General features: G+C 54.0%; 1 protein-coding gene across 2 annotated transcripts in view; it reads left to right on the plus strand.

Moving 5' to 3' along the window:
• The window catches only part of SZT2 (SZT2 subunit of KICSTOR complex), a 64,349-nt gene that overhangs the window by 31,712 nt on the left and 7,666 nt on the right, over window positions 1-24,971 (plus strand). The window contains exons 12-65 of one of the 2 annotated variants that reach the window (NM_001365999.1): window positions 473-615; window positions 870-1,022; window positions 1,159-1,273; window positions 1,489-1,706; window positions 2,607-2,822; window positions 3,174-3,252; window positions 3,503-3,597; window positions 3,864-4,032; window positions 4,225-4,339; window positions 4,428-4,541; window positions 4,758-4,928; window positions 5,105-5,199; window positions 5,446-5,569; window positions 5,671-5,835; window positions 5,920-6,124; window positions 6,393-6,508; window positions 6,630-6,876; window positions 8,093-8,234; window positions 8,401-8,493; window positions 8,701-8,779; window positions 8,886-9,179; window positions 9,339-9,480; window positions 9,655-9,762; window positions 9,850-9,913; window positions 10,106-10,291; window positions 10,662-10,829; window positions 10,907-10,994; window positions 11,118-11,189; window positions 11,379-11,580; window positions 12,776-12,875; window positions 13,590-13,719; window positions 15,561-15,713; window positions 15,796-15,898; window positions 15,985-16,090; window positions 16,181-16,292; window positions 17,089-17,207; window positions 17,319-17,483; window positions 17,748-17,832; window positions 17,995-18,159; window positions 18,271-18,438; window positions 18,843-18,976; window positions 19,604-19,770; window positions 19,894-19,991; window positions 20,076-20,208; window positions 20,390-20,520; window positions 20,658-20,758; window positions 20,832-21,008; window positions 21,209-21,476; window positions 21,578-21,657; window positions 21,742-21,867; window positions 21,987-22,186; window positions 24,284-24,374; window positions 24,569-24,649; window positions 24,732-24,806. In NM_001365999.1, the coding sequence (NP_001352928.1) occupies window positions 473-615; window positions 870-1,022; window positions 1,159-1,273; window positions 1,489-1,706; window positions 2,607-2,822; window positions 3,174-3,252; window positions 3,503-3,597; window positions 3,864-4,032; window positions 4,225-4,339; window positions 4,428-4,541; window positions 4,758-4,928; window positions 5,105-5,199; window positions 5,446-5,569; window positions 5,671-5,835; window positions 5,920-6,124; window positions 6,393-6,508; window positions 6,630-6,876; window positions 8,093-8,234; window positions 8,401-8,493; window positions 8,701-8,779; window positions 8,886-9,179; window positions 9,339-9,480; window positions 9,655-9,762; window positions 9,850-9,913; window positions 10,106-10,291; window positions 10,662-10,829; window positions 10,907-10,994; window positions 11,118-11,189; window positions 11,379-11,580; window positions 12,776-12,875; window positions 13,590-13,719; window positions 15,561-15,713; window positions 15,796-15,898; window positions 15,985-16,090; window positions 16,181-16,292; window positions 17,089-17,207; window positions 17,319-17,483; window positions 17,748-17,832; window positions 17,995-18,159; window positions 18,271-18,438; window positions 18,843-18,976; window positions 19,604-19,770; window positions 19,894-19,991; window positions 20,076-20,208; window positions 20,390-20,520; window positions 20,658-20,758; window positions 20,832-21,008; window positions 21,209-21,476; window positions 21,578-21,657; window positions 21,742-21,867; window positions 21,987-22,186; window positions 24,284-24,374; window positions 24,569-24,649; window positions 24,732-24,806 (7,446 nt within the window). The remainder of the gene's footprint in view (window positions 1-472; window positions 616-869; window positions 1,023-1,158; window positions 1,274-1,488; window positions 1,707-2,606; window positions 2,823-3,173; window positions 3,253-3,502; window positions 3,598-3,863; window positions 4,033-4,224; window positions 4,340-4,427; window positions 4,542-4,757; window positions 4,929-5,104; window positions 5,200-5,445; window positions 5,570-5,670; window positions 5,836-5,919; window positions 6,125-6,392; window positions 6,509-6,629; window positions 6,877-8,092; window positions 8,235-8,400; window positions 8,494-8,700; window positions 8,780-8,885; window positions 9,180-9,338; window positions 9,481-9,654; window positions 9,763-9,849; window positions 9,914-10,105; window positions 10,292-10,661; window positions 10,830-10,906; window positions 10,995-11,117; window positions 11,190-11,378; window positions 11,581-12,775; window positions 12,876-13,589; window positions 13,720-15,560; window positions 15,714-15,795; window positions 15,899-15,984; window positions 16,091-16,180; window positions 16,293-17,088; window positions 17,208-17,318; window positions 17,484-17,747; window positions 17,833-17,994; window positions 18,160-18,270; window positions 18,439-18,842; window positions 18,977-19,603; window positions 19,771-19,893; window positions 19,992-20,075; window positions 20,209-20,389; window positions 20,521-20,657; window positions 20,759-20,831; window positions 21,009-21,208; window positions 21,477-21,577; window positions 21,658-21,741; window positions 21,868-21,986; window positions 22,187-24,283; window positions 24,375-24,568; window positions 24,650-24,731; window positions 24,807-24,971) is intronic. The other variant, NM_015284.4, reaches the window with a different exon arrangement.

The raw sequence follows: 24,971 nt of genomic DNA on the forward strand, positions 1-24,971 counted from the left end.
GGGCTTCCCCAGCCGCCTTCACCTGTGTGCATCCACCACCAGCCACCATGAACTGTGTACTCCCTGAAGACTACAGCTTCCTTGGTCCTGTGCTGTCTTCACACTCAGTCCACGCTGTCAGCCTAACACTGATGGGAAGGTGGCTTATGCTAGTGTGCAGTGGCCACATCATGAGGTCCTGCCACCATTTAGGGGCTTTTCTCCCAAGTCGGTGACATAAGCTGGGCTTATGGTTCCATCCTTCTGGATTCAGCTTTAAAGGGCTACACAGTCTGTCCCTGGGCTCAGTCATCCAAATCTAGCCTTCATAGTGGAAACAGTTTTTGCCTGTGCTTCAGGCTGGGCTGTAGCCTCAAACCACTGCTGTCTCTGACTCTCTGAACGGAGTCCACCCATGGTTTTGTTTGCTCTTTGGAGTTTGTACCCTGGTCCTCTGCAAATGCTCCTATAGTGCTGTCCTTCCTGTCCTCAGGTGCTCTCCCTCCAGCCCAGTGGTTCTGACTCATCCCATGCCCAGTTTGCTGCCTACTGGAAGCCAGTGCTGTCCATGGATGCAAATTCCTGGCAGCGATGGCTGCACATGCATCGCCTGGTGCTAATCCTGGAGCATGACACGTGGGTGCCCTTAGGGCTGGGCCATAGTTGGGGTGGAGTATCGGGGTCAGGGGGATAGGGAATGATGGGAAGGGGAGCAGCAGATGAGCTCTTACCAACTGTGGCCAAGGAAAAACTATAGCCTTTTCCTTGCCTCCCTGCTCTTCAGTCCCCATAACCTCAGGCAAGGCCTAGAAGAGAGTGATAGTAGTCTATTCCTTTTCTCCAAGCCTGGGGCCTGGAGGTCTAACCTCAGTCCACACCCCTCTTCCTAGACCAATCCCCAAGCACTTGCACACCCCGGGCAGCAATGGGCGCTACAGCACTATCCAGTGCAGGATCTCCCACTCCTCCCTGACCTCTCTGCTGCGGGACTGGAGCAGCTTCGTACTAGTCGAGGGCTATTCTTATGTTAAGCTGCTCTCCAGGTGGGCAAAGTGATGTCCCTTCACCCCCCGCCCCCCCACCCCCCCGCCACCTCATCCCATGTCTCCCTCTAACCCCAGACCTCACTGCTACTTCCTGCCAACCTTGGGCTGCTCACTGACTCCCATTTCTCCCCAGTGCCCCAGACCAGCCCCCCAATTCCTTCTACATGGTCCGTATCATTTCCAAGGCCCCATGCATGGTTCTTCGCCTGGGTTTTCCCATTGGCACACCAGCACCGGCCCGGCACAAGGTAAGCTGGGCCCTGACTGACTCTGACCAAGGAGCCCTAGGGTGTAGGATAGCTCCCTCTCCCCAAACCCCACAGGGCCAGGTCTAATAGAGGGAGGAGCCCCCAGACCAAGGAAGACCTGGAGAAGAGGGCTGTGTCTCACTTTGTCTGTGAGCCCCTTCTCCCAGACCTGTAGGAGATGGGAGTAAGAGGATGTGACCACATTTTCCCCTCAGATTGTGTCAGGCTTGAGGGAAGAGATCCTGCGGCTGCGTTTCCCCCACCGGGTACAAAGCAAGGAGCCAACGCCCAAGGTGAAACGAAAAGGGCTAGGGGGTGCTGGTGGGGGCAGCTCTCCCTCCAAGTCACCCCCCGTGCTGGGGCCACAGCAGGCCCTGTCTGACCGGCCCTGCCTTGTGGTCCTGCATAAGCCACTGGACAAACTGCTCATCAGGTTGGTACAGAGGTGTGGAAGGGCGTGGCTTAGCAGGGTATGAGTGGTACAGAGGTGTGGAGGGCATGGCTTAGCCCGGTGTGAGTAGTATAGAGGTGTGGAGTGCGTGGCTTAGTGGGGTATGAGTGGTACAAAGGTGTGGAAGGGTGTGGCTTAGCGGGGTGAGGTGTGGAAGGGCGTGGCTTAGCAGGGTATGAGTGGTACGGAGGTGTGGAAGGGCGTGGCTTAGTGGGGTATGAGTGGTACAGAGGTGTGGAAGGGCATGGCTTAGCGGGGTATGAGTGGTACAGAGGTGTGGAGGGCATGGCTTAGCCCGGTGTGAGTAGTATAGAGGTGTGGAAGGGTCTGGCCTAGTGGGGTATGAGTGGTACAGAGTTGCAGAAGGGCGTGGCTTAGCGGGGTATGAGTGGTACAGAGGTGTGGAAGGGCATGGCTCAGCGAGGAATGAGTAGGTCAGAGGTGTGGAAGGGTGTGACTTAGGGGGGTATGAGTGATACAGAGGTATGGAAGGGCGTGGCTTAGCGAGGTATGAGTAGGTCAGAGGTGTGGAAGGGTGTGGCTTAGCGGGGTATGAGTGGTAAGGAGTGTGGAAGGGTGTGGCTTAGCAGGGTATCAGTGGTACAGAGATGTGGAAGGGCATGGTTTAGCAGGGTATGAGTGGTACAGAGGCATGGAAGGGCGTGGCTTAGCCGGGTATGAGTGGTACAGAGGTGTGGAAGGGCGTGGCTTAGCCGGGTATGAGTGGTACAGAGGTGTGGAAGGGCGTGGCTTAGCCGGGTATCAGTGGTACAGAGGTGTGGAAGGGCGTGGCTTAGCCAGCTGTGAGTGGTACAGAGGTGTGGAAGGGCGTGGCTTAGCCGGGGATGAGAGAGATAGCTGGGGAGTTGTCCCATTTCCTAGGTATGAGAAGCTGCCCTTGGACTACCGGGCACCCTTCTTGCTGACATTGGAGCCACCAGGTCCACTGCCCTTGGTGTCAGGCCGCTCAGCCTCTTCTAGCCTGGCGTCACTGTCCCGCTACCTCTACCATCAGCGCTGGCTTTGGAGTGTCCCGTCAGGACTGGCCCCTGCGCTGCCTCTCAGTGCCATTGCCCAGCTCCTCTCCATCCTCACTGAGTATGTCATCCAAGCCTGCCAGGTCACTCGGGGCAAGGAGAGAGCAAGTGTAGACTGGGACACTAGCAAAAAGCCTATAGCACACACTTCTCCTCTCTAATTCCCAGTCTGAAGTATAGAGCAGCATCTGCTACTGCCCTCCCTGTCTCCTCCCATCACCCGATTTGTTTTGTCCTCTCTCATCCTCACTGGATTTGTTATACCCTGAGGGACCGCCAGTCTAAGCAGGGCCAGCAGCAGACTTGGCTCCTTGAGGACTGCTGGGAGGTGGGTGTATGTGGGGAGAGCTTGTAGTCTCAGTGTCTCTTCTTCCCTTATCCTGGCCTTGCCCCGGCCTTTATGGGGCTTCAGAGTCCGACTTTCTGAAGGATTCCACTTCGCCTGCAGTGGGGAAGGAATCATCAACATGGTTCTGGAGCTTCCAATTCAGGTACGTGCCATCCCCCATGACACCTCCCTGCCAAGGTCTGTCATAATCCCAGGGACACTCACCTCTGAGCTGGGTTGGGACTGCTGGAAACTGCCTCACAGGGACCCTGTGGCCAGAGGATGCTCAAGGTCTGAGGCTGCAGTCATAGGACAATTTGGTGAGGGAACTGAAATTCTGAGGGCCAGAGCTAGGCCAGGCCAGATCTCTGCCTTGGCTGGGATTTGCCCAAGATCTCCCATTTTGCCCACAGAATGAACCACCAGGGCAGGCTGCAGCTGAAGAGAAGCACACCTGTGTTGTCCAGTACATCCTCTTCCCCCCACACTCTACCTCCACCAAAGACAGGTGAGACAGGCCATCTGTGAGGGCCGCCTCTGCAGAGTCAGCCTTCTCCCCACCATCCCCTAGAGGTCTGGCTCCCATATCCTGAGATGATCTTGATCCCAAAGTCAGGGAGGGGGTGCGGTGTTTAGATGCTTCATCAGGCAGACGCTGGTCTGGGAAGGCCTTGTATGACTCGTGGCTGTCCTCTGTGCCTGCCTCCTTCCCTCCATGAGGTTCACTCCCTGCCATGAGGCTGTGCATTGGACTCAGAGCCCTTCCTCCTTTAGCTTCTCGACAGATGATGACAATGATGTGGAAGTGGAGGCCCTGGAGGGAGACTCAGAGCTCAATCTGGTCACTGAGGTGTGGGTGGAGCCACAGTATGGGCGAGTGGGACCTGGCCCTGGAATCTGGAAGCACCTCCAGGACCTGACGTATTCTGAGATCCCGCAAGCTGTGAGTGTCCTCAGAACAGTACCCGCACCTCTCTCACTGGATTGGGGTGCCATCTCTTTTGGAGTACTGCAGTCTGTGGGCTTCCTGGTCCCTCTGAATGGCTGGGACTGTTGAAGCTTCCTGAAGAGCTGGAACCCAGGGTATCCTGGGCTAAGAGGGGTTGACTCCTGACCTCTGATGTTCTTCCTGTAGCTCCACCCACGGGATGCTGCCTGCATAGGCTCCATGCTGAGCTTTGAATACCTGATACAGCTGTGTCAGAGCAAGGAATGGGGTCCTCTGCCCCCAGAGCCGAGGGTCTCTGATGGTGAGTGGGGCAGGCGGCCCACTGGTGGAGCAGGGGAGTGGGTAGGGTAATCTGCGTCTCACTGTGTCCTGTCCTTCCTCCCTCGTAGGATTGGATCAGGGAGGAGACACCTGCGTCCATGAGATCCCTTTCCATTTTGACCTAATGGGATTGCTGCCACAGTGCCAGCAGCTCCAGATGTTCTTCCTCTTGCTTGCCAGAGGTAGGTGAACCTGGTACCCTTTCACCCCACACCTAAAGGGCCAGCAAGCCTGGAAGTATTAGAAAATAACAAACAGATGGGTCAGCAAGTGAGCAGATGAGTGGTGGGGGCAGGAGGAGCCCATGAGGCTGAAGGAGGGGCCAGCTGGTCAGGGCTGAGCCGGGGGCACCGGGCAGCAGGAGGCTCTTGGTGCTGAGCAGAGTGTGTGTCGGGCAGAGCCAGAGGGTGTCCCTTTCGCCGAGGGGTCCTGTCCTGCCAACGACATGGTGCTGTGCCTGCTGCACAGCTGCCTGGGGCAGGAGCTGAGTGACCGGGAGATCCCACTGACCCCCGTTGACCAGGCTGCCTTCTTGAGTGAGGTGCTGCGGCGGACCTGCCACGTTCCAGGTGAGTTCCCCACATCCTCCTGACACCAGACCCTGGCCCAGCCCTTTTCCCCCACCCTCACAGGGTGATTTCTGTCTTTGAGTTTTGGCTTTCCCCTTCCTCCCCCTTTCTTCAACCCAGAGTCCCGCCTCTCTGCTGGCCCTGCCCTCTTTCACCCATCTCTACCCCCATTGTAGGTGCCGAGGGGCCACTGCTGGGGGTTCATGGGATCCCGAAGGAGCAAGCAGTCGGCAGCACCCAGGCCACAGGAGACTCCGCTTTTACTTCCCTGGTCAGCACCGATTCTTCTCCCTGAGCCCTTGTCACACTGACCTCCTTCCAGCACCACATCTTCAGGCCCCAACCTTCTACCGCCCTTGAGACTAAATGGCATCTGCCAATGACACAATGCCGTCATTTTCCATTGTCCTGGATCTTTCAAGCTATACCTAAGATGAGTCAGCTCTAGGGTGGAGGAGGGGAACAGGGGTTGGACATTCCCTTATAGATTGCTCTAATTTCTGTTTTTCTCTTACAGAGTGTAGGTCTTCCTGAAACTCTCAAGCCTCTCATCTCTGCCCAGCCCCCTCAGTGGCGCTGCTATGCAAGGCTTGTGAACCCCCAGCATGTGTTTCTGACTTTTCTCCCAGCTACCTTCTCAGGTGCCAGCTGCTGACCTCCTCACGAACCCCCTCAGATACAAACCCCTGAGCTCCCTCACTGGCCCACCAGGCAGCTCTGATTTATGTCTGATCCTCTTCAGATGTCCAGCGTCTGGCTGCCTGTGGCCTGGAGGGACCCCCTCAAGAGGAGACAAAGCCTAAGTTTGGGGATTGGAGTGGGGCTCCCAGTCTGAAAGATCTAGGAGGAACTGGGATCAAAGCTACAAAGTCCCACGTCCCTGTCCTCAGTGTGACCCTGGCTAGTGGTAAGGCTGCCGACTCAAGGTGGGCAGGAGTGGGAGTGGGAAACAGATAGAGCTGGAAGACCACGTGACACCTTTTCTTCACAGACAATGCCCAGAATCAAGGAGAGCTAAGTCCACCATTCCGTCGAGACTTACAGGCTTACGCTGGGCGTCAGGCTTCCCAGACAGAGAGTGCGGATGGGCCCCGGACCCGGTGTCCTGTCTACATCTACAGCTGTTCACTGGAAGCGCTGAGGGAACAAATGGTTGGCATGCAGCCCCCTCAGGCGCCCCGAGACCTCATCTTCCGGTGAGTGCCTTCAGTGTTGACCTAAGTCCTCGCCGGGCCATGGCTCCCAGCCAAGAAATAAGTACACACTAATAGGCGTGGGCAGGTAAGTTGCTGCCATATCCTGCTGGCTCCTTGCTTGATTTCCCTCAGCAAACCCTTGAACTTGCTAGGCCATGAATACACTTGATATGTGTCTATAGATGATCCATTGGAGTGTGGATGGCTAATGAGTGTGAGGTATCACTTAAGGGAGTTGGTCAAGTTCCATTTTCCCTTCGTTTCCTAGGACTCAGTTCCTCGACCACCCCTCCCCATCCTCAGCCTGGATGGAACCCCGGTACAAGGAGGCAGCTAACCACTGTGCCCTGCTGCAGGAGCATGCACAGCGGTGCTATGTCCGTGGTGAGCAGGAGGGCCGTGGGAGGGAGGAGTGGGGCCCTGCGGGAGATACAGGGATTACAGGGTGGGGACTGGAGAGGCCATTCCAGAGCTCAAGCCTCATGGCCCCTTCCACTTCCATCAGGGCTATTCCGCAGCTTGCAGCAAGCACAGAGTGTGACCTCCCAGGATTTGCTGACAGCGGTAGATGCCTGTGAGGAGCTACTACAAGAAATAGACATCACCCCATTTCTCCTTGCATTGTGTGGCCACACTTGGGGTTTGCCTCATGCACCCCCAAGTCCTGGTCCTCTCAGCCCTGGGCCCTTCAGCAGCAGCATGGAGGAGGGTGCTGAACCTCGGGAACGAGCTATCCTAGCTTCTGAATCCAGGTTAGGATTATACTTGAATGATGGATAAGGGGGTACACAGACCAAGTCCCTATAAACAAGGACCTTCCAGTCCAGGGGAATGACTGTGCAAGGTAGTATCTAAGCACCTGAGAAGCAGTAGTGCTTTGTCGCCGGCTCACGGACTCCCATGCAGCCTTCCTCACCAATTTGGCACAGGCAGCAGTCTCCCTCCCAGGCTCTCCCCATCTCCCCTGCTTTGGTGTTGAGTGATGAGCTGAGTCAGGGATAGGGAGTCCCCTGGTGCTAACCGTGAACGTAGAGACTTGTTCTGAGGACATCCACACAATAGTAGGAATCTCCCCAACCAATCTGTGAATTTCATGGGGGCCAAAACTGTATTTTGCTCACTGCTAAGTCCCCAGCTCACCTTAGGGGCTCAGCAGGTCCCTGTTGAAGGGAGGAAGGGGAGGAGAGAAGGAGAAAGGCAAGCAGGCAGACAGCTATGGGTCTAGCATCTGCAGTGTGTTAGCGTTGGGGAAACAGAAGAACTAGAAGGATGGATATGCTGATGACTCCTAGATTGGAACTCCGGTCCGGTTCTTTCTCTGGAGCTCTAGATACTCACTTTTTGTGCCCCCCAAATGAATGCATTTTCTTCCCACTAACCCTTGATTTTTCTTCATTCATGGTGAAAAATATCACCCTCAATCTAGTGATCCAAGTCAGAAAACTGGGAGTTATCGCTACTCTGTTTCATAGAAATCCCCATCCATCAAGAAATATGAAAGTTAAGGCTGTAATATGAAATATTACAGTCACTCACTCCTGTAATCCCAACACTTTGGGAGGCTGAGGCGGGAGGATCACTTGAGCCCAGGAGTTCAAGACCAGCCTGAGCAACCAGGGGAGACCTTGTTTCTACAAAAGAATTTAAAAATTAGCTGGGCGTGGTGGCATATGCCTGTGGTCCCAGCTACTCAGAAGGCAAGTGGTGATGGCGCCACTGCACTCCTACCTCAGCAACAGAGTAAGACTCTGTCCCAAAAAAAAGGAAAGAAAAAAGAAAAAGAAATATGGAGGTTAAAGCCAAAATGTGTAGGTTGGTTCTCTTTGCCTCTTTTACCACCCATGCCATTACGCTAAGTACTCTTCCTGTGGACAAAAAGGCTTCCTGTGCTGCTCCCCAGTTGAGAGGCAGGCTACTTCAGAGCTTGATGGTTCTTAACACTTCAACATCCTTACCCCAACCATTCAGCATAGAGACCGAGGACCTAAGCGAGCCTGAGTTTCAGAGCACCCGTGTCCCTGGCATTCCAGACCCTGGGCCAGAGATCTCTCTGACAGATGTCTGCCAGCTCAGAGGAGAGGCCCATGGTGCCCTTCATAGCGTCATCCAGGTGGGAAGCTTGGGTGAGGGTAGAAGAGGTGTTAGAGTCCTGCCTGTGCAGAGGGACAGGATTCTCTCCTGGGCGGGGGGTATGCATGTGTCCTGCTCTAGGGTAGGGAGTAGTATCCTGTTGAGGGGTGACTGACATTCTAACCTCCTTCTAAACCCCACAACAGGAGAAGTTCCTAGAGATCAGTCGTCTCCACTTCCGCACAGTGCCTTCCAATCCCCACTACTTCTTCTATTGCCCTCCATCCAGCAGGCGAGAAGTGAGTGGCTCTCTTCCTTACCTCTCTCGTGCCCTCAACCCAGAGGCCCACCCAGACCCTCTTGAGTCTTGGTTCCCTGAGGCCTGGATGTGGCTCTTGTCTTGCCTTAGATCAAGCTGTCTAAGGCAAGACAAGTGTAATCCCACTTGCCTAGGATGAGGCAAGTGGGATTCTTGCCTCATCATCTTGCTTCATTCTTTTGCCTAGGATGAGGGGCCTCGGGACACAGTAGACAGAAAAATCAGTGACCTGGAGTTTTCAGAGGCTGAGCTTATGGGAGAAGAAGGTATGTGGGCAAGTGAGTCAAGGTGGGGAAGGCTGGCTGCTTCACGCCGAGATTCAAGGGTTCCACTGCCAGCCTCTCTCATTGACCATGTGACATGCACTACTAGGAGACACATCTGCCTGCTGTGTGGTCACTGAGAGTGACCCAGAGCTAGAGGTAGAATACCGGGAGAGCCGTGAATCAGACCTGGGGCCTGCTGGGCTAGACTCTGCCTCGCTGTCAGACGTAGACACTGTGAATCCTGATGAAGACTCCTTCAGTATCTTGGGGGGCGACTCACCCACTGGGCCTGAGAGCTTCCTTCATGACCTGCCACCGCTCTTCCTGCACCTCACGTGCTCCGTGCGGCTACGTGGGCAGCACAGCTCAGTACCTGTGTGCAGCCTGCCTACCTGCCTGGGTGAGTTTGAGGCAGCCCGAGGGAAAGCCAAAGGTCCTGGAACAGCCTGCCTAAGTGGGAGTGGAGGGGAGCCTAGGGTTATGTCTTTTAACACATAGATCTTGGAATCTGTGCTTGTCTTAGAGCCCTCAGCAACTGCTAACTTTCCCCCTCTCCCAGGCCAGGTGCTTTCCAGTCTGGAGGGCCCCCCAGTTGGAGGCCGAGTTCCCTTGAGGGACCTCAGTGTGACTCTGGATGTCTTCATGCTGACTTTGCCCCTGGAAGTGGAGCTCCCCACGGCCTCGGACCCTCAGCACCACCGGTGTGGCAGCAAGTTTGGTGGGGGGTTTGGGACCTTTTTAGGGTAGGGGGACCACTAAGCGAATCTAGAGCACTTGGGGACTAAGGAGACCTTGAGGAGTCCAAGAATGAAGTAAGGAGGAGGCCCTGGTAGGATAGTAACTCCTGACCTTTGACTTGTTCCCACCCTGTTCAGGTCAACATCTGAAAGCAGTGCTTCATTTCCACGATCCCCAGGGCAGCCATCATCTTTAAGGTCAGATGATGGCCTCGGGCCCCCACTGCCACCCCCAGAAGAGGAGAGGTACTTCTTTATCTCCCTGTCAGAGTTCATTACTGCTTTTCAATTTCATTTTCTGGAAACCAATATCTAAACCTTTCTTCCAATTAGGCACCCAGGACTATCCAATTTGGCCACGCCCCACAGACTGGCTATTGAGACCACCATGAATGAGGTGAGCCCCCCACCCCCAACACTGTAACTGATTCCCTTTCCATCGTATGAGTGAGATAAGGTACCCCCTTTGTTCTGGGATAGAAGTGAGGCCTCTCTCAGTCTGTGAGGCAAATTATCTTCTAGTCCGGGAGTAAGGGGATGCCCAAGGAAGCAAGGGAGATGCCCTTTGTCACTTGCTGTCTAACTGTAGATCCGCTGGTTGTTGGAAGATGAGATGGTGGGGGCACTCCGAAGAGGGGGCATCCCACAGAGTCCTGCCCTGCACCGCGCAGCTGCCCATATCCATAGTTCTCCTGGACGCTCCACCTGCCTTCGCCAAACTCTGCCACTGAGTTTTGTATTTGGGCCAGAGCGTTCCCTCACACAATTCAAGGAGGTAAGTTGCCCTCCAAACACTGCAGGGTCACCTTGGGGCCCGTCCTTCCCTGGGCCCCAGGCACAGGACTGGAAGGCCCTCTGTTAGTTCGAACTCATAGAGTTATCCCTCCTGTCTCCCTGCTCACCACATCATCTGCCCTAACCCCTGTGCTTGGCAGCCCAACTCACTGGAAAGAAACCCAGCTCCCAACCTGGTCACTGCTCCTGTTGAACCTTAGGCAAGTCACTGAATCTTTTCTTACCTCAGCAGTGGGGATGCCAGCATCTGCTTTACCAGGTAGTTAGGAGCGTCTCATGAGGAAGTGTAGCTCACCATGTGTAGGGAGGACTGCCCTGCCTAAACTGTGATCTTGGCTCCTGCTCTCTAGGAGTTCCGCCGCCTCCATCTCCCTGGCCATGTTCTTCTTGAAGACCCTGACAGTGGCTTCTTCTTTGTGGCAGCTGGCCAACAGCCAGGTGGGTCCCATGGGGAGCCTTCTTCAGCGGCCTGGGCTTGGCACAGTCATGAGGACAGGGCTGAAGGCATCGAAGGGGAGGTGAGTCTCACCTGGGAATGGAGGGGGGTGGTGGGTGTGTGGGGCCTATACCTCAGTCCTGACTTCCTATTCCTCAGACCCTGACAGCCAGCCCCCAAGCACCTGGGTCCCCAGAGGATTCTGAGGGTGTCCCCCTCATCAGCCTGCCCCGCGTGCCACAGGGAGGTAAGAGAGGACTTGGGCAGCAGTCTGGAGGCCAGGACCAGATCCCTGACCATGCTTCCATTTTTGGAGGGAGGCCCTAGACAGGATTGAGAGAGGCTCCAGGCATTTTCCTTCTCTATCCAGGGAGTCAGCCTGGGCCCAGCCGGGGATTAAGTCTCATGTCCAGTCAGGGCAGTGTGGACTCAGACCACCTAGGTAAGCTGGGGGGACGGGGTGAAGGACTCTAAGCTGATGGGAGGTGGGCTTAGGGCTGTACTGGGAAAGGTCTGGACAGGAGACATCAGAAGGGACTAATCTGAAGTGCATCAAGCCAGATGCACCTGGAGGATCAGATGAGTCAGGCCCAGCTTCGGATGGGATTGACCTTCAATGCATCTGACACAGGTTATGATGGTGGCAGCAGTGGCTCAGACAGTGAGGGTCCCAATGACACCCTTGGTGAGAAGGCCCCCTTCACATTGCGGACTCCACCTGGGCCAGCACCTCCACAGCCTTCACTCTCAGGCCTCCCTGGGCCCTGCCTGCCTGACTTCTGGCTCATTGTCCGGGTCCTGCAGGACCGTGTGGAAGTGTATGCACATGCACGGTAAGTAGAAGCCAGGGCCTGCACCCTCATGCTCCCATTAACCTCTTCTCTCTGCTCCCACAGTACCTCTCTCCAGTGTTGTTAGAAGTAAGACTTGGGACTGAGAGCTTGGGTAGAGATCCAACTTGTATTCTTAGGTTGGTGGTTCCCGATCACTTCCCACATCTTACAGCTAAGCACATCACATTCAACTGTCTTATAGATGAGAGTCGAAAAGCTGATGGGGATTTTGGCTTCTCGCTGAGCATTAACAACATCTAAGGATCAGAGCAGCTTTAGAAGTTCGTGTATAAAAATAAAGCATAATAAGGCTGGGCGTGGTAGCTCATGCCCGTAATCCCAGCACTTTGGGAGGCCGAGGCAGGCGGATCACTTGAGGTTAGGAGTTCGATACCAGCCTGGCCAACATGGTGAAACCCCGTCTCCATTAAAAATACAAAAATTAGTTGGGCGTGGTGGCAGGCGCCTGTAGTCCCAGCTAATTGGGAGGCTGAGGCAGAAGAATCTTGAACCTGGGAGGTGGAGATTGCAGTGAATGAGATTGTGCCACTGCACTCCAGCTGGGGCAACAGAGCAAGACACTGTCTCAAAAAATAATAAGGCATAATAGCTAATATTTATCAAGTGCATACTATGTGGTAGGCACTGTTCTGGTGCTTACATGAATCCACTCATTTATCTACATAACCCTACGGCGTATTAATGTCCTTATCATATGGGTGAAGAAACTGAAGCACAGGCCAGTTAAATACTTGCCCAAGGCCACAGTAAGTGACAGAGCCAGGATTCCTGCATAGGCATCAGTTCACTACTGCTCTCATCTCGGGTGGGTGGCATATGCAGGGTAAGGTGGGGCTGAGAAGAAAGGAAGACCACCATTCTGAAGAAGACTTGAGAAGAAAGAAGAGGTGCACAGCATAAAGGAGCCTCAGTGTGGTACCCGTATGGGAGCTGGTGAAGCAAGCGTGGAGCCTCGGCATCCAGAACTGCTCTTGAGAATTCCGTCTCTTCCATTTCCCACCAGGTTTACCTCTGTCCAAGCCTGCTCCCTTTTCATGGTTTCTCTTGGCCCCACCTCCATGACTTTCTCTCCCCCTCGTGATACGTATAACTGCAGTTATGTCATATACATATCATGCCATTACATATAACTCCTCCCCACTGCAGTTCTGGTCAGATTATCCTTCCTTCCCAGGAGCCTGATTCGGGAGGATGGGGGGCCGGGCACTGAGTGTCGCCACCTGCAGCAGCTCCTGGTGAGGCGAGTTGGGGAGATCTGCAGGGAGGTCAACCAGGTAAGGGGCAGGACTCTCCAGACCCGGACACACAGAGCAGATGAGAACCAAATTTCTAAGAACTTGATTTTCAGAGGCTATTGGTCCATTTCAGAATCAATAATTATGGAAAGTTTTTGACTTCCCCAGTTAGTAGGATGCTGTTTCTCCCCCAGCTCCCTACAGCCTTGGGAGTGCTCCACAACCCACCCCCAGTAACAGTGGGTTACTCTCTCATACCATCCCAGTAACCATGAGATACTCCCTCTCATTGCACTGTGCTAGCATTAGTGATATACTAGTGACCCAGACAGAGGGACGCTGTAACTCTGTGGAGCTTGTGTAGAATGGGGGACAGTTGAACAACTGAATTACACAACTTACTTCAATTACAATTGTGAAGAATCCTAAAAGGAACAGTAGAAGCTGCTACGAAAGCATGTAACAGGGATCTGACCATCTGAAGTATCAGGGAAAGCTTCTTAGAGGAAGTGATTTTTAAGCTGAGACTCGACGGATGGTGAACAGATTCTGGCACCAAAGGGGCAAGTGTTCCTGACTGAGAATCACTCTCAGAGGCCTGAGCTTTGACCTCTCTGTGATGACTGATATTCTTGTTGACCTCCAATCCCCAGTGATAGTGGTCATTCTCTCTGGCATTTGATCACCCCTGACCACCACCACCCACTTAGGAGGAGGTATTTCAGTTCCCTGACCTCATGCTCCTTCTCCCAGCGACTGCTTCTTCAAGACCTTCATGACAGCCACGTGTGTAACTCTCTTCTGGTGGCCGAGAGTGAAGAAGATCTGTGGCGCAGTGAGACTCCCTTCCACTCCCGTCAGCGGGCACCACTGCCCAGTGATGGTGAGATCCCACCCAGGAGCCTCCCTCACAAGGCAGTGCTGCCGCCCTTTCTTTTACCGAATACTCTGGTGAAAGCTGAGGGCAGAGTCCTCATTACTTGGTCATCAGTGCCAAGTACTAGAGAGAGAGCAAGGAGGATAGGACAGGAAAGGATCACTGGCCTTGGCTGCTGCTGCGAGTTCATCAGTGATTTTCATGGAAGTAATTTCAGTAGAGAGATGGGAATAGAAAGCAGATGAAATGAAAAGTGAAAGAGGGTGATAGGTGGGGCAGAGAATAACTACTCTTACAAGTAGCTTGGCAGTGAAGAGACAGAGAAAATAGATACGGCAGTAACTAAAGGAAGATGGGGGCAAGGAAGGAGCTTTAAAATAAAGTAGAGACTTGAGCTTGTTTATATTCTATAGGGAAAGAGCCAGGGGAGGGGGAGAGGTTGAAGAATACAGAAGAGGAGAGATCACTGAAGGGGCACCAGGCCATGATCTGTCTTCCTAAGAGTCTGCTTCTGCCTGGCCCTGTCTTGTTAACCAGAATGACCGTCTTTCCCTGGCAGGGAAATAGTCAGGAATGAGGAGTTTGGGAGAGTGAGAACAAGCGGGCCAGTTCCCAAGTAAGAGAAATCCAGAGGGGAGGAGCCTGAAGGCCAGTAGAATTGCCTTCTGATTGGCTGTTCCTCCAGACAGGCAGCCACAGGACTGCTTTGGGATTTCTAGTCATGGTAAGGGAACATGATAATCCACTCAAGATGGTAACTGAAGTCTCGACACTTCTCCCTTCTCTTACTCCTGATGACCTCTCACCCAGACGGATAGAGGAAAAGCTGAACCATAACATTCCTTTGCAGTTCTCCTCTGGTTTAAAAGTAAAATCAGACCACTCCTTATTTTTAACATTCTCAGCAAGTCTGTAGACAAACGTTTCTGATATCTCCAGGAGAATGCATCTCTCAGCACATCCTGGGATCTCCTCCATATCGAAGCAGAGTCCCCATAGTTAGTGGATTCCCATGGTTTCAAAGGCATCTTCTGCAAATTGAAGATGAGCTAGGACAGGTGAACAATTTTACTTCAGAATGACTTCCGGCAGCCTAAGATGTAAGACCAGTCAGAACCCAGACACAGCCCTTCCTCATTTTAGTCTCTCCAGAATTTTTCCCTGAAACCCTTAGCAACCAGCATTCCATTCCAGAGCCTCTGCCTTTACACAGAAACTTCAGCCTCCTGGGTAGCCTGTGTGCTGTTCACACTTGACAGCAGCTTCTCTGAGAAAACTGCCACTTTGATTCACCAGAAGGCTCCCTGGAAACCTGAAAAGGGTCGAAGGAGGCATTGTACTGTGGCCATGGGCTCCTGTGTACTGCCACACTACCCTTTGGGTTTATTGGCGTTTCTGTCTTCCAAAGCCCAGGACAAAGTTTATCCCTCCTCTGCAGCTGGTGTGCATAAGCAGCCATACCCTTTTGGTTTTAATGAGATTACTGTTGCAACTCCCTGGAGGACATAGTGTTAGAGTGCTACTGACATATATTATGACAGGGTCAGAATCTCTTGGCATGATCTTGAGGATTTCCTCATGCTTTGCCTGCCTTGATACCTCTCATTAGCTCCTTCTCTAAGTCTCCTTGAGATAGTTCTGGAAGCCTTTGTGCTATATGACCTGTGTTCCTAAGGGCATGCATCTGCCTGGCCCTGTCGTGTTACCCAGAATGATCATCATTTCTCTGCAATAGTCAGGGATGAGTCTGGAGGAGTGAGGACAAGTAGGCCAGTTCCCAGGTGAGAAGTCTGTGGAGGGCAGAGGGTGGTGTGTCCCATTTCTAATCCCTGCTCCCCCTCACCCAGATTATGCTGCTGATGAGAGCTGTGCGCCCCGTGGGTACCTGGCAGCCACAATGCAGTTTGTCCCTGGCCATTTCTCCTGTGACGTTGTGTGGGGAACTGTGATCCGAGTCCATTCACGCCTCAAAATGGGGCCCAGCATGGGGGTCTCTCGGGGTATGTGATTGGCATGAGAGGGCAGGTGAGCATTGGAAGGATCTGGAAAAGGCAGTTTCCTGAGCCCATGTTATTCCCCCAGCCATCCAGGCCCTGCGCTCTGTGCTCAATGCCTTCTCTGTGGTGAACCGGAAAAACATGTTTGTTTACCAGGAGCGAGCAACAAAGGCTGTGTACTATCTTCGGTATGTGGCCCTTGGAAGGTGGGTAGGGCATGAATTAAGGATGGCCTGGGAGGAGGCATGTCCAAAGACATGCTGCTCTTTCCCAGGCTCCTAGAGACATCCTGCAGTGACCGGCCATGGAAAGGGGATGCGCTGCCCCCTTCCCTCGCTCTGTCCCGAAGCCAAGAGCCCATCTACTCTGAGGAAGCCTCGGCATGTATCACTCCCACTCTCTGATGCCCCTGTGTTCCTCTTGCACTTTGCTCTCTGGAACCGGGGCCCTGACCACAGTTTTCCCTGTAGGGTCCTCGTTCTCCCTTAGACATGGTCTCTAGCCGCAGTTCAGATGCTGCTCGTCCTGTGGGCCAAGTGGACAGACATATCCAGCTGCTGGTCCATGGTGTTGGGCAGGCAGGTAAGGTCTGAGGAGGGGGTAGGGGAGTCGCCACATGAGGTTCCAGAATCCTCTGGGACTTCTCTTAGAACCTTGCAAGCATTACACTAGAAGTTATGTAACAGTCTCAGCCCAAGACCTGACACATGTTAAGTGAGCCATAAATACTAGCTGGAGGCTCCAGACCCTCTGGGACTTCTCTTAGAACCTCCTATTACTCTGCCCTGGGTCCCTCCTCTAGTTCCTGCTGTGCTCGGGTCTTTCCTCAAGCAGGAGCTGCATGGGAAGGGACTGGCTTCTGCCATGTTCAGGGTTAGGACTGCAGTTGACTGAGGCACAGCTTGGGGAAGGGGAGCTGGGGTGGCTGGAGAACTGGTGGTGCCACCGACCTGATACCAGACTGGGTTCGGGGTGAAGAGGATGGTTATTTGGGATATATTTTGCCCCAGGTGTCCAGTAGGCAACTGGATTTTCCAGCTAATATTTATAGCTCAATTAACATGTGCTGGTCTTGGGCTGAGACTGTTAAATAACTTCTAGTGTAATTCTTGCAACAAACCTATGAGGGCGATGCTATTATAATTCTCATTTTATGGATGAAGGCACAGAGGTTTTGAGAGTAAAACTCAAGTGTCCATAGTGACATAACGAGTAGTTTGGCAGAATTGGAACCTAGTGCTGGCTACCTCCAGAGCCAGCACTCCTAACACTGCCTCTAGTATACAGGGGATTCTTTGAGTTTGGCATGATAGGGCTGCTATGGAGGTAGCTGGATCCTCTACCAGTGTCCCCACCTTCCCACCATGGCTGTGTCAAGGTCCTGAGATCACGGATGAGCTCGTGCGAGTTCTATGTCGGCGCCTGGATGAGGCCACGCTGGACGTCATCACAGTTATGCTTGTTCGGAACTGCAAGCTGACACCAGCTGATGTGGAGGTCAGCTCCCCTCTAGGCACCAGCATCCTTCCCAGACTCAGCCACAGGTTCCAGGACAGTCTAGGCTGGAACTTCTGCATTCAGCTCTGCCCTCTTCTTCCCACTCTGCAGTTCATCCAGCCCCCTGGAAGTCTCCCCTCAGAGGTGCTGCATCTGGCCCTACCCACCTCCTGCAGGCCCTGGCTTCCAGCCCTGGCATGGTACCTACGGCAGAACTTGCTCATCTTCCTGCACTCTCCCAAGTACACAGATAGCAACAGCCGGAACCACTTCCAAGTGAGATGGCACTCATCTCTCTCCACACTCATGTGCACCCCTGCCCCCTGCCCCACGCACTTACTCTTTCCTACCGATACCCCTATATGTACCTTTGCCCATGGACCTGGGTACACCCATGCCCCCCCGGGGACCATTATTACCCGCCTGTGTCTTCTCATGCTCCCATATCTACCTGCACCACATTCCCCACTGTGGGCACCCATCCCCGAGGGTTTTGTCCATTTGCTTGCTCTTAGTGCTCTGTGGCTGTTCTTTCCCCAGCATCCACTCCCACCACAGGGTGGCCTCCCTGACTTGGACATCTACTTGTATAACAAGCCTGGTGGACAGGGCACTGGGGGCAAAGGTACGGTGCAGGGCACGGGCCTGTGGCACCACCAGGTGAGGGAAAGCCTTTTGTCATCCTATTGCTAAGAGGACATTTCCCAGGCTTGCAGCTGAGTGGAGGGTCGTGGGAGGGGTGGTCTGCAAGTCCCAGAGCTGAGCCTTCCTATGGATTTCTACCCAGGGGTTGCCTGCATCACTCTAGCCTTTGTGGATGAAGGAGGGGCCCCCTTGTCACTGGCGTTGTGGCCCCCCTCCTCTCCGGGGCCCCCAGACCCACTGCGAGAGGAGGAATTTGAGCAACTGACCCAGGTCATCCGCTGCCCGGTTGTTGTGGACAGTTCTTCAGGTGGGACAGCTTGGTCAGAGGATGAGGTGTTCAGTTATTGCTGTGGGAGGTAAGGGTGGTGAGTAGAGTGGGATCTAGGGACACCCTCAAGTGTCCCTGTTCTCCTTCCAGCTCAGAATGGGGCCCCACGGCTTCGATTGGATGTGTGGGAAAAGGGGAACATTAGTATTGTGCAGCTGGAGGAGAAACTCCGAGGAGCAGCTCGCCAGGCCCTGGCCGATGCCATCATCGAGCTTCAGCTGCTGCCAGCTTCACTATGTACAGAGGACACACCCACAGGTATGCAAGTCAAGAGGTCCCTGGGGTCCAGAGAATGTCACAGATCCAAGCAGGACAGTGTGGCAGGTGAGCGTGCAAAGGTGGGGTTTAGGGGAAGCATGTCAGAGAACTACTACATCAGAACCACTTATTCACAGTTGTCCGTGAGCTTGTCTGGGCATCATCCAGGTGCTACACTGGCAGCAGTGAACGGATGCAGCTGCTCACCCACTTAGAGAGGGCTATTGCATCAGAGGCTCACTTCACACAAACACATGCAGCAGCACACTATCAGTTGTATATACTGTCATTCACTGACAGGTAGAATAGGTGGCAAGTCACTGTCATACCAGTCTTGAGGTTCAGTTTTCTAGAATGGGGATTGATGATCAGTGATGGGTGTCTGTAATGTCTGATGTCCACAGGAAGTCTCAGGAACGGATCGTTGGAAACTAAGAGCTCTGCAGGCCGAGCTAGCACCTTTCCCCCTGCCCCTGTCCCTGGGGAGCCTGTGACTCCACCCAGCAAAGCGGGCCGGCGTAGCTTCTGGGATATGCTGGTAATGGAAGAAGTGGTGAAGTGGGCATCTACCTTTCTGCCTGCCTCCTAGCTCCTCCCACACTCCCTCCTGCTTCCCAGTCCCCCATAGGCCTTGCCACAGTGTCCTTTCATATAAAACTGCTCTGTCCTGCCAGACACCATGGCGTGTACCTTTAGTCCCAGCTCCTCAGGAGGATGAAATGGGAGGATTTTGCTTCAGGCCAAGAGTTCAAGGCTGTAGTACGTTGTGATCATGCCTGTTAATGCACTCCAGCCTGGGCAACACACAAACACTCTGTCTCAAAAAAGCAAAACAAAAACTGCTCTGTCTTTTGGACTGGAGTTTGTAGAATGTGGCAGTTCTCACTGATGTAGAGGGAGCCTTAACTTACTATGTGCCTTCACTTCCATTTTTCTTGTCGGATCCTCACAACAGCTTGCAAGATAAGTAGAGCTTTTACAGTGAGGAAGGTGAGGCTCAGGAAAGTTAGGTAACCTGCCCAAGGCTCCTTAGCCAGCCCCTGGGGAAGCCAGGGTCTGAACCCAGACCTCTGAATCCTCCTAGCTCACTGCTGTTCCATAGTGCCCCCATCCCACACCTTTCCTCTTCCCAGTAGCCCTTCCTCATTCACTGCATTGCCCCCAGAGTAAAACAGAATGTGGGGATTTGGGTTCCCCCAAAACAACTGATGACATTGTCCTGGATCGGCCAGAAGACACTCGGGGCCGGAGGCGTCACAAAACCGAGAGTGTTCGGACTCCTGGTGGAGCTGAGCGGGCGCCAGGCTCAGATTCTGGAGCCCAGAGACAAAAGTATGTGTGTGGTGGTGGTGTGCCCTGGGAGGGTATGGGTGTGAAGTCACAGATGGGCCTTGGTCTGTATAAACATACAAGTGTCATGTATGGACATGAGGCTCTTACTCCCACTGTCTTCAGGCGCCGGACAACACAGCTAGAAGAGGGTGAGGTGGGGACCCTTCATCCTGTGTTTGCCCGTGTTGCTCAGCGCTGGATGGAGTTTATGGTTCAGATTGGTGAGACCCCAGCCTCCCCTCCCATCCCTCAACCCCAGCCTGGTCTCCATCCTGCAGCTCCACAGTGACTCCTCTGCCTCCTAGGTTGTGCCTCAGTGTCCAGAAGCTCTGCCCACATGGTGTCCCGGTTCCTCCTTCCATCCATCCTGTCTGAGTTCACCGCACTGGTCACCTCAATGGCTGGAGACACCAGTGTCCGCATCTTTGAGCAGCATTTGTGAGTGTAGATCCTATAGAATTGAAGGGAACTCCCCTAGACTTCCTAAAAGCTGGGCCTACAGGAAGCCAAACCTGAGGAAGCTGAGCTAGGAGAGGTGGAAACAAGGCCCAGGGAGGTGAAGGCTAGGCCAGGGAGTGGTGTCATGGATGGCCTTTCTGTCTGTCCTCCCTTTCAATAGGGGTTCAGAGCCAGAGATCTTCGGCCCTTGTTCCCCTGGGCAACTGGGCCCCTCTCCCCGCCCTGCAGCTGAGCGGCATCTGCTGCTTCTGGGAAGGAACTTCTTGCAGTGGAGGAGACCAACACAGCAGGGTGAGGGCATGGCCCGGGGGGGCGGGGGGCGGGTAGGCTAAGAGTAACTGGTGGGGTCTCCAACCTTGCAGAGGGGAGGGTGGGATCAAGGGGGATCTGTTCCCAGGCCCCTATTGTGCCCCTCCCCCACCCTGTAGCTGCCAAAGCCATGCAGCGCTTCGAGCCAGGAGGTGATGGGAGCTCAGGGCGAAATGCTCCCCGGCAGAGGCTCTTGCTACTAGAGGTTGTGGACAAGAAGGTAAATATGGGGCCAGGGACTGGGTGGGAAGAGGGGTTCCGTGATCTCACTGACCCTGACCCCCGACCTCCAGCTACAGCTGCTGACCTACAACTGGGCTCCAGACCTGGGGGCAGCATTGGGCCGAGCGCTGGTTCGCCTGGTGCAGTGGCAGAATGCACGAGCCCATCTCATCTTCTGCCTACTCAGCCAGAAGCTTGGCCTCTTCCATCATTATGGCCAGTTGGACTTCCCCGTGCGAGATGAAAAGGTGCCTGCTGCTCTGGTTCTTCCTATAGTTTTGGCTACTGAGGGGTCAGTTAAAGGAAAAACCAGCTCAGAAGCCAGAAAGATGGGACAGACTGAGGGCAGAGGTAGTGGGGAGGGAGAGTCTGAGAGAGGAAGCCCTGGGATGAGAGAGAGGGTCCGAGGGCAAAGGCTATGAACCCATTGCAATGCTCCATCTCTCAGGAGCCAAACCCATTCCTGCTGCCGACCATGGAAGTGGAGACCCTCATCCGGAGTGCAAGTCCCCCGCTGAGCCGTGAGCAGGGCCGACTGAGTGGGTCCTCTCGTGGTGGGGGTCCTCTTCCCCTGGACACATTCCCCTTTGACGAGGCCCTAAGGGATATCACGGCTGCCCGCCCCAGCTCCGTACTTGGTCCTGTGCCCAGACCTCCTGATCCTGTCACCTACCATGGACAACAGTTCCTAGAGATCAAGATGGCAGAGCGCAGAGGTGAGGGTACTGGGCCAGGCAGCAGGGACAGGAAATCTGTGGAGTCTGGGAGGAAGGGAGTGACAATGCCTGGGGCTACTACTAATGCCCTCAACCCTCAGAGCTGGAGCGCCAGATGAAGATGGAAAACCTGTTTGTAACCTGGCAGCAGCGTTCTACCCCAGCCACCATGCCCATCAGTGTGAGTGACCCCAGCTTGCATCTTCCTTGAGTATCTGTGATCCTGCCCCGTCACTGCTCCATGCTCACTGCCCTGTTTCCCCAGGCTGGAGAGCTGGAGACCCTGAAGCAGTCATCCCGCCTGGTGCATTACTGTGCAACAGCCATGCTCTTCGACCCAGCTGCCTGGCTGCATGGGCCCCCAGAGACCTCTGGACCCCCTGACGGGCAGGTAAGGCTGACTCCCAGACTTCTAGCAGACCTTTGCTTACCCCACAGTGACCCCCCTCCTCCATCCCCAGCAGGATGGTTGACAGTGGGGAGAGTCTTCCTTGATCTTTACTCTCATAGCGGCGCCATCGCCCTGAGTCAGGGTCTGGGAGCCGAGAGGCCCCCACAAGCTGTGAATCCTTGGATGTGTCGCCCCCGGGAGCCCGTGAGGAGCCTTGGCTGAAGGAGCTGAGCTTGGCTTTCCTGCAGCAATATGTGCAGTATCTGCAGAGCATAGGTTTTGTGCTGGTACCACTGCGGCCCCCCTCACCCGCCCGCAGGTGAGCCCGTCCCTGTTTTCCCTTCTGTCTTCTCCTCCTGCACTGCAAGTGAGGCCCCACAGGCCCTTCCTCTCTTTACAAGGTCCTATGTTGACAATTTGGGCTGGGCCTGTGCATGTTTATCCCACCAGGCTTGCACTCATGTGAGGGTCTCAGATACTTTCACACAGCCCTCATGCGTGTCCTGCAGACCTTGTATGCTTTATGGAACTCATGATGACACTCATACAAAACTGTGTCCATTTTCACAAAGCTCATGCCCACACACATCTTGTACACTTACACACTTGCATACATCCCCACATGTGAATTTTTTTGGAGATGGAATCTCACTGTGTCGCCTAGGCTGGAGTGCAGTGGCGCGATCTCGGCTCACTGCAACCTCCACCTCCTGGGTTCGAGCAATTCTTGTGCCTCAGTCTCCCAAGTAGCTGGGATTACAGGTGCACGCCACCCTGCTTGGCTAATTTTTTGTATTTTAGTAGAGATGGGGTATCACCATGTTGCCTAGACTGGTCTTGAACTCCTCAACTCAGGTAGTCCGCCCACCTCAGCCTCCCAAAGTGCTAGGATTATAGGTGTGAGCCATCACGCCCGGCCTGCACATGTGAATCTTGTACATGCTCCTAAGCCTCTGGATCTAGGACTTAATGATTCCTGTCCTTATCATCCCACTGACCTCTCCTGAGATTTGATGTAGTTCTCGGCCCAGGGAAGTCCTTTTCTCACCAAGGACCTCTGTGCTAGGCCTACTTGCATCACTGTCCTTGGCCTGTTCTTGGTCATGTTCACCCACTGGCCAGTACTGACAGGTCTGAGTCTTGGGAAGTAGGCAGCCCGTCTGTTGCCACCTCCATCTCCCCTGAGCTCAGGGACAACTCTGCAGCCACCTTTTCATCCACTGTCAAATCTCAGATTCCCGTGTTTGTGGCCCCTGCTCTATGTTCCTCTCCAGATTCTGTGTTCTCTGCCCTTTCCCAGTGGCTGTATGCGAAAAATGAGCTGTTCACCTTACACATAGCTACTTTCGTGTCTCCAGATTTGTGAGTTTATCAAGGCATGTTCTCCCTCCTCTCTGTTTTCAGTTAGAACCTTTTCAAGCCAGTAGTCCAGAAATGCCAGTTCCAACTCTCTCATGTTTCTGTGACCAGCTCCCCACTCCCCAGGTTTCCCTCTCTTCCAGGCATTAGGAAGAGAAGGCGTGCCTGCCCCTCCTGTGATCCCATCTCAGAGGCCAGGCTGGCCCCTCCTACCCTGGGGAGGAGCTGCCCAGCTTGCTATCTTGACAGCCAGTTCCCAGCTCTAGGAGCTTCTCTAAAGGACTTTAGTTTGCACACTTGCCATAAGTTATGCTCTTTCCCCCAAATCTGAATTCCTTTAGACACTGGGTTAAAAAAAAAAATGTTTCTACAGCAAAATTTAAAGCCAGGTCTTCCCTTCCCACCAATCTTTAACAATCACCAATCACTAAGTCTTGTCCCAGTTTCCTTGAGGTTTAAATGGGACATTTTTTCCACCAGAGGTTTTGACCCCCAGCAAGAATTCTGGCAGTTTATAGCCCCTTGGCGTGAGTGGGTCCCCCCAACCCCTTCTGTTCTGTCCCTTCTTCCCAGTCCCTCCCCTGCTTCCCTTCTCCCCTATCCTCTGCACTAAACTGTAACGAGCAGTAGGCCTCTGAAAGCCTGGAACTGCCATCCCCCCCAATCAAAAGACAGCAGCTTTGCCCTTTCAGAGGAAGGTACCTAACCAGGCATCAAGCATCTCCTTGAATTTTCCTAATCAAATTGTAGACAGGCATCACCTTCCCCCTTCTCTTTCCTGCCCAGCACACACCCTCTCAGTAGCAGAGGCTTAGTCTCCACCTCCCCACTGAGCACTGTTTTTGCCTCCCTTGAAGCAGCAGCTGCTATGGAGAGAGCCCAGCCTTGCAGTCTAGACCTGGACTCCAAGCCCAGCCTTGCCACTCACAGTGGCAGCTTTGTGGGTCTGTTTCCTCCCTTGCAAAATGATTCCATATAAAACAGATTCTGGGTCTGATCACCATGACTGCATGCCACTAGCCTGCCTCATCCTCTTATCCCTCCTCCTTTTCTATAGCACCAGCCGGCCACGGGCCATGGCTATCCTTGGAACAGAGGGTCGAGGCTCCTTCTCCTGCCCTAAAACCAAGACTGATGGGAGCCCCAAGGTAACTTGTCATATAATGGTAAAGTTACTGATGCTAAATTACTTTCCCACGGCCTGAGGTCATTGACCCTGAGTGATGTACCGAGGTCACTGATCCCAGACTGACACCATTAAAGTCAGGGTCCAAGGGACTTCCACCCTACTGATTCGAGGCTGGTGAGCCCCCAAACCTTGCCCCCTTTTTTGTTTCTTCAGAGCACTAGCTCTCCGGTAACCACCTACCACCTGCAGCGGGCACTGCCTGGGGGCATCATCCTCATGGAACTGGCATTCCAGGTAAGCAGGAGGAGCACTGAGTGGAGACAGCCAGACCCACCTGTCTCTCGCCTTCCTGATCTCATCTTCACCTTCCCTCCAGGGCTGTTACTTCTGTGTCAAACAGTTTGCCCTGGAATGTTCCCGAATCCCAATGGGGCAGGCTGTCAACTCACAGGTATGTGAATGAGCTGCGGGCACAGTCAGTGCACCCCAGTGTGCTGTGGGCAGCATGGCTCCATGTCCCATTTGCTGGGCAGTAGAGTAATGCAGTAGGCGGGCTGGCCCAGTGATTGATTCACTGCTATGGCCTGGCTAGGTCAGTGCTCATTCTGGTGCCATG

Source organism: Homo sapiens, chromosome 1 (assembly GCF_000001405.40).
Source record: "Homo sapiens chromosome 1, GRCh38.p14 Primary Assembly".
In the NCBI taxonomy this organism is placed as follows: Eukaryota; Metazoa; Chordata; class Mammalia; order Primates; family Hominidae; genus Homo; species Homo sapiens.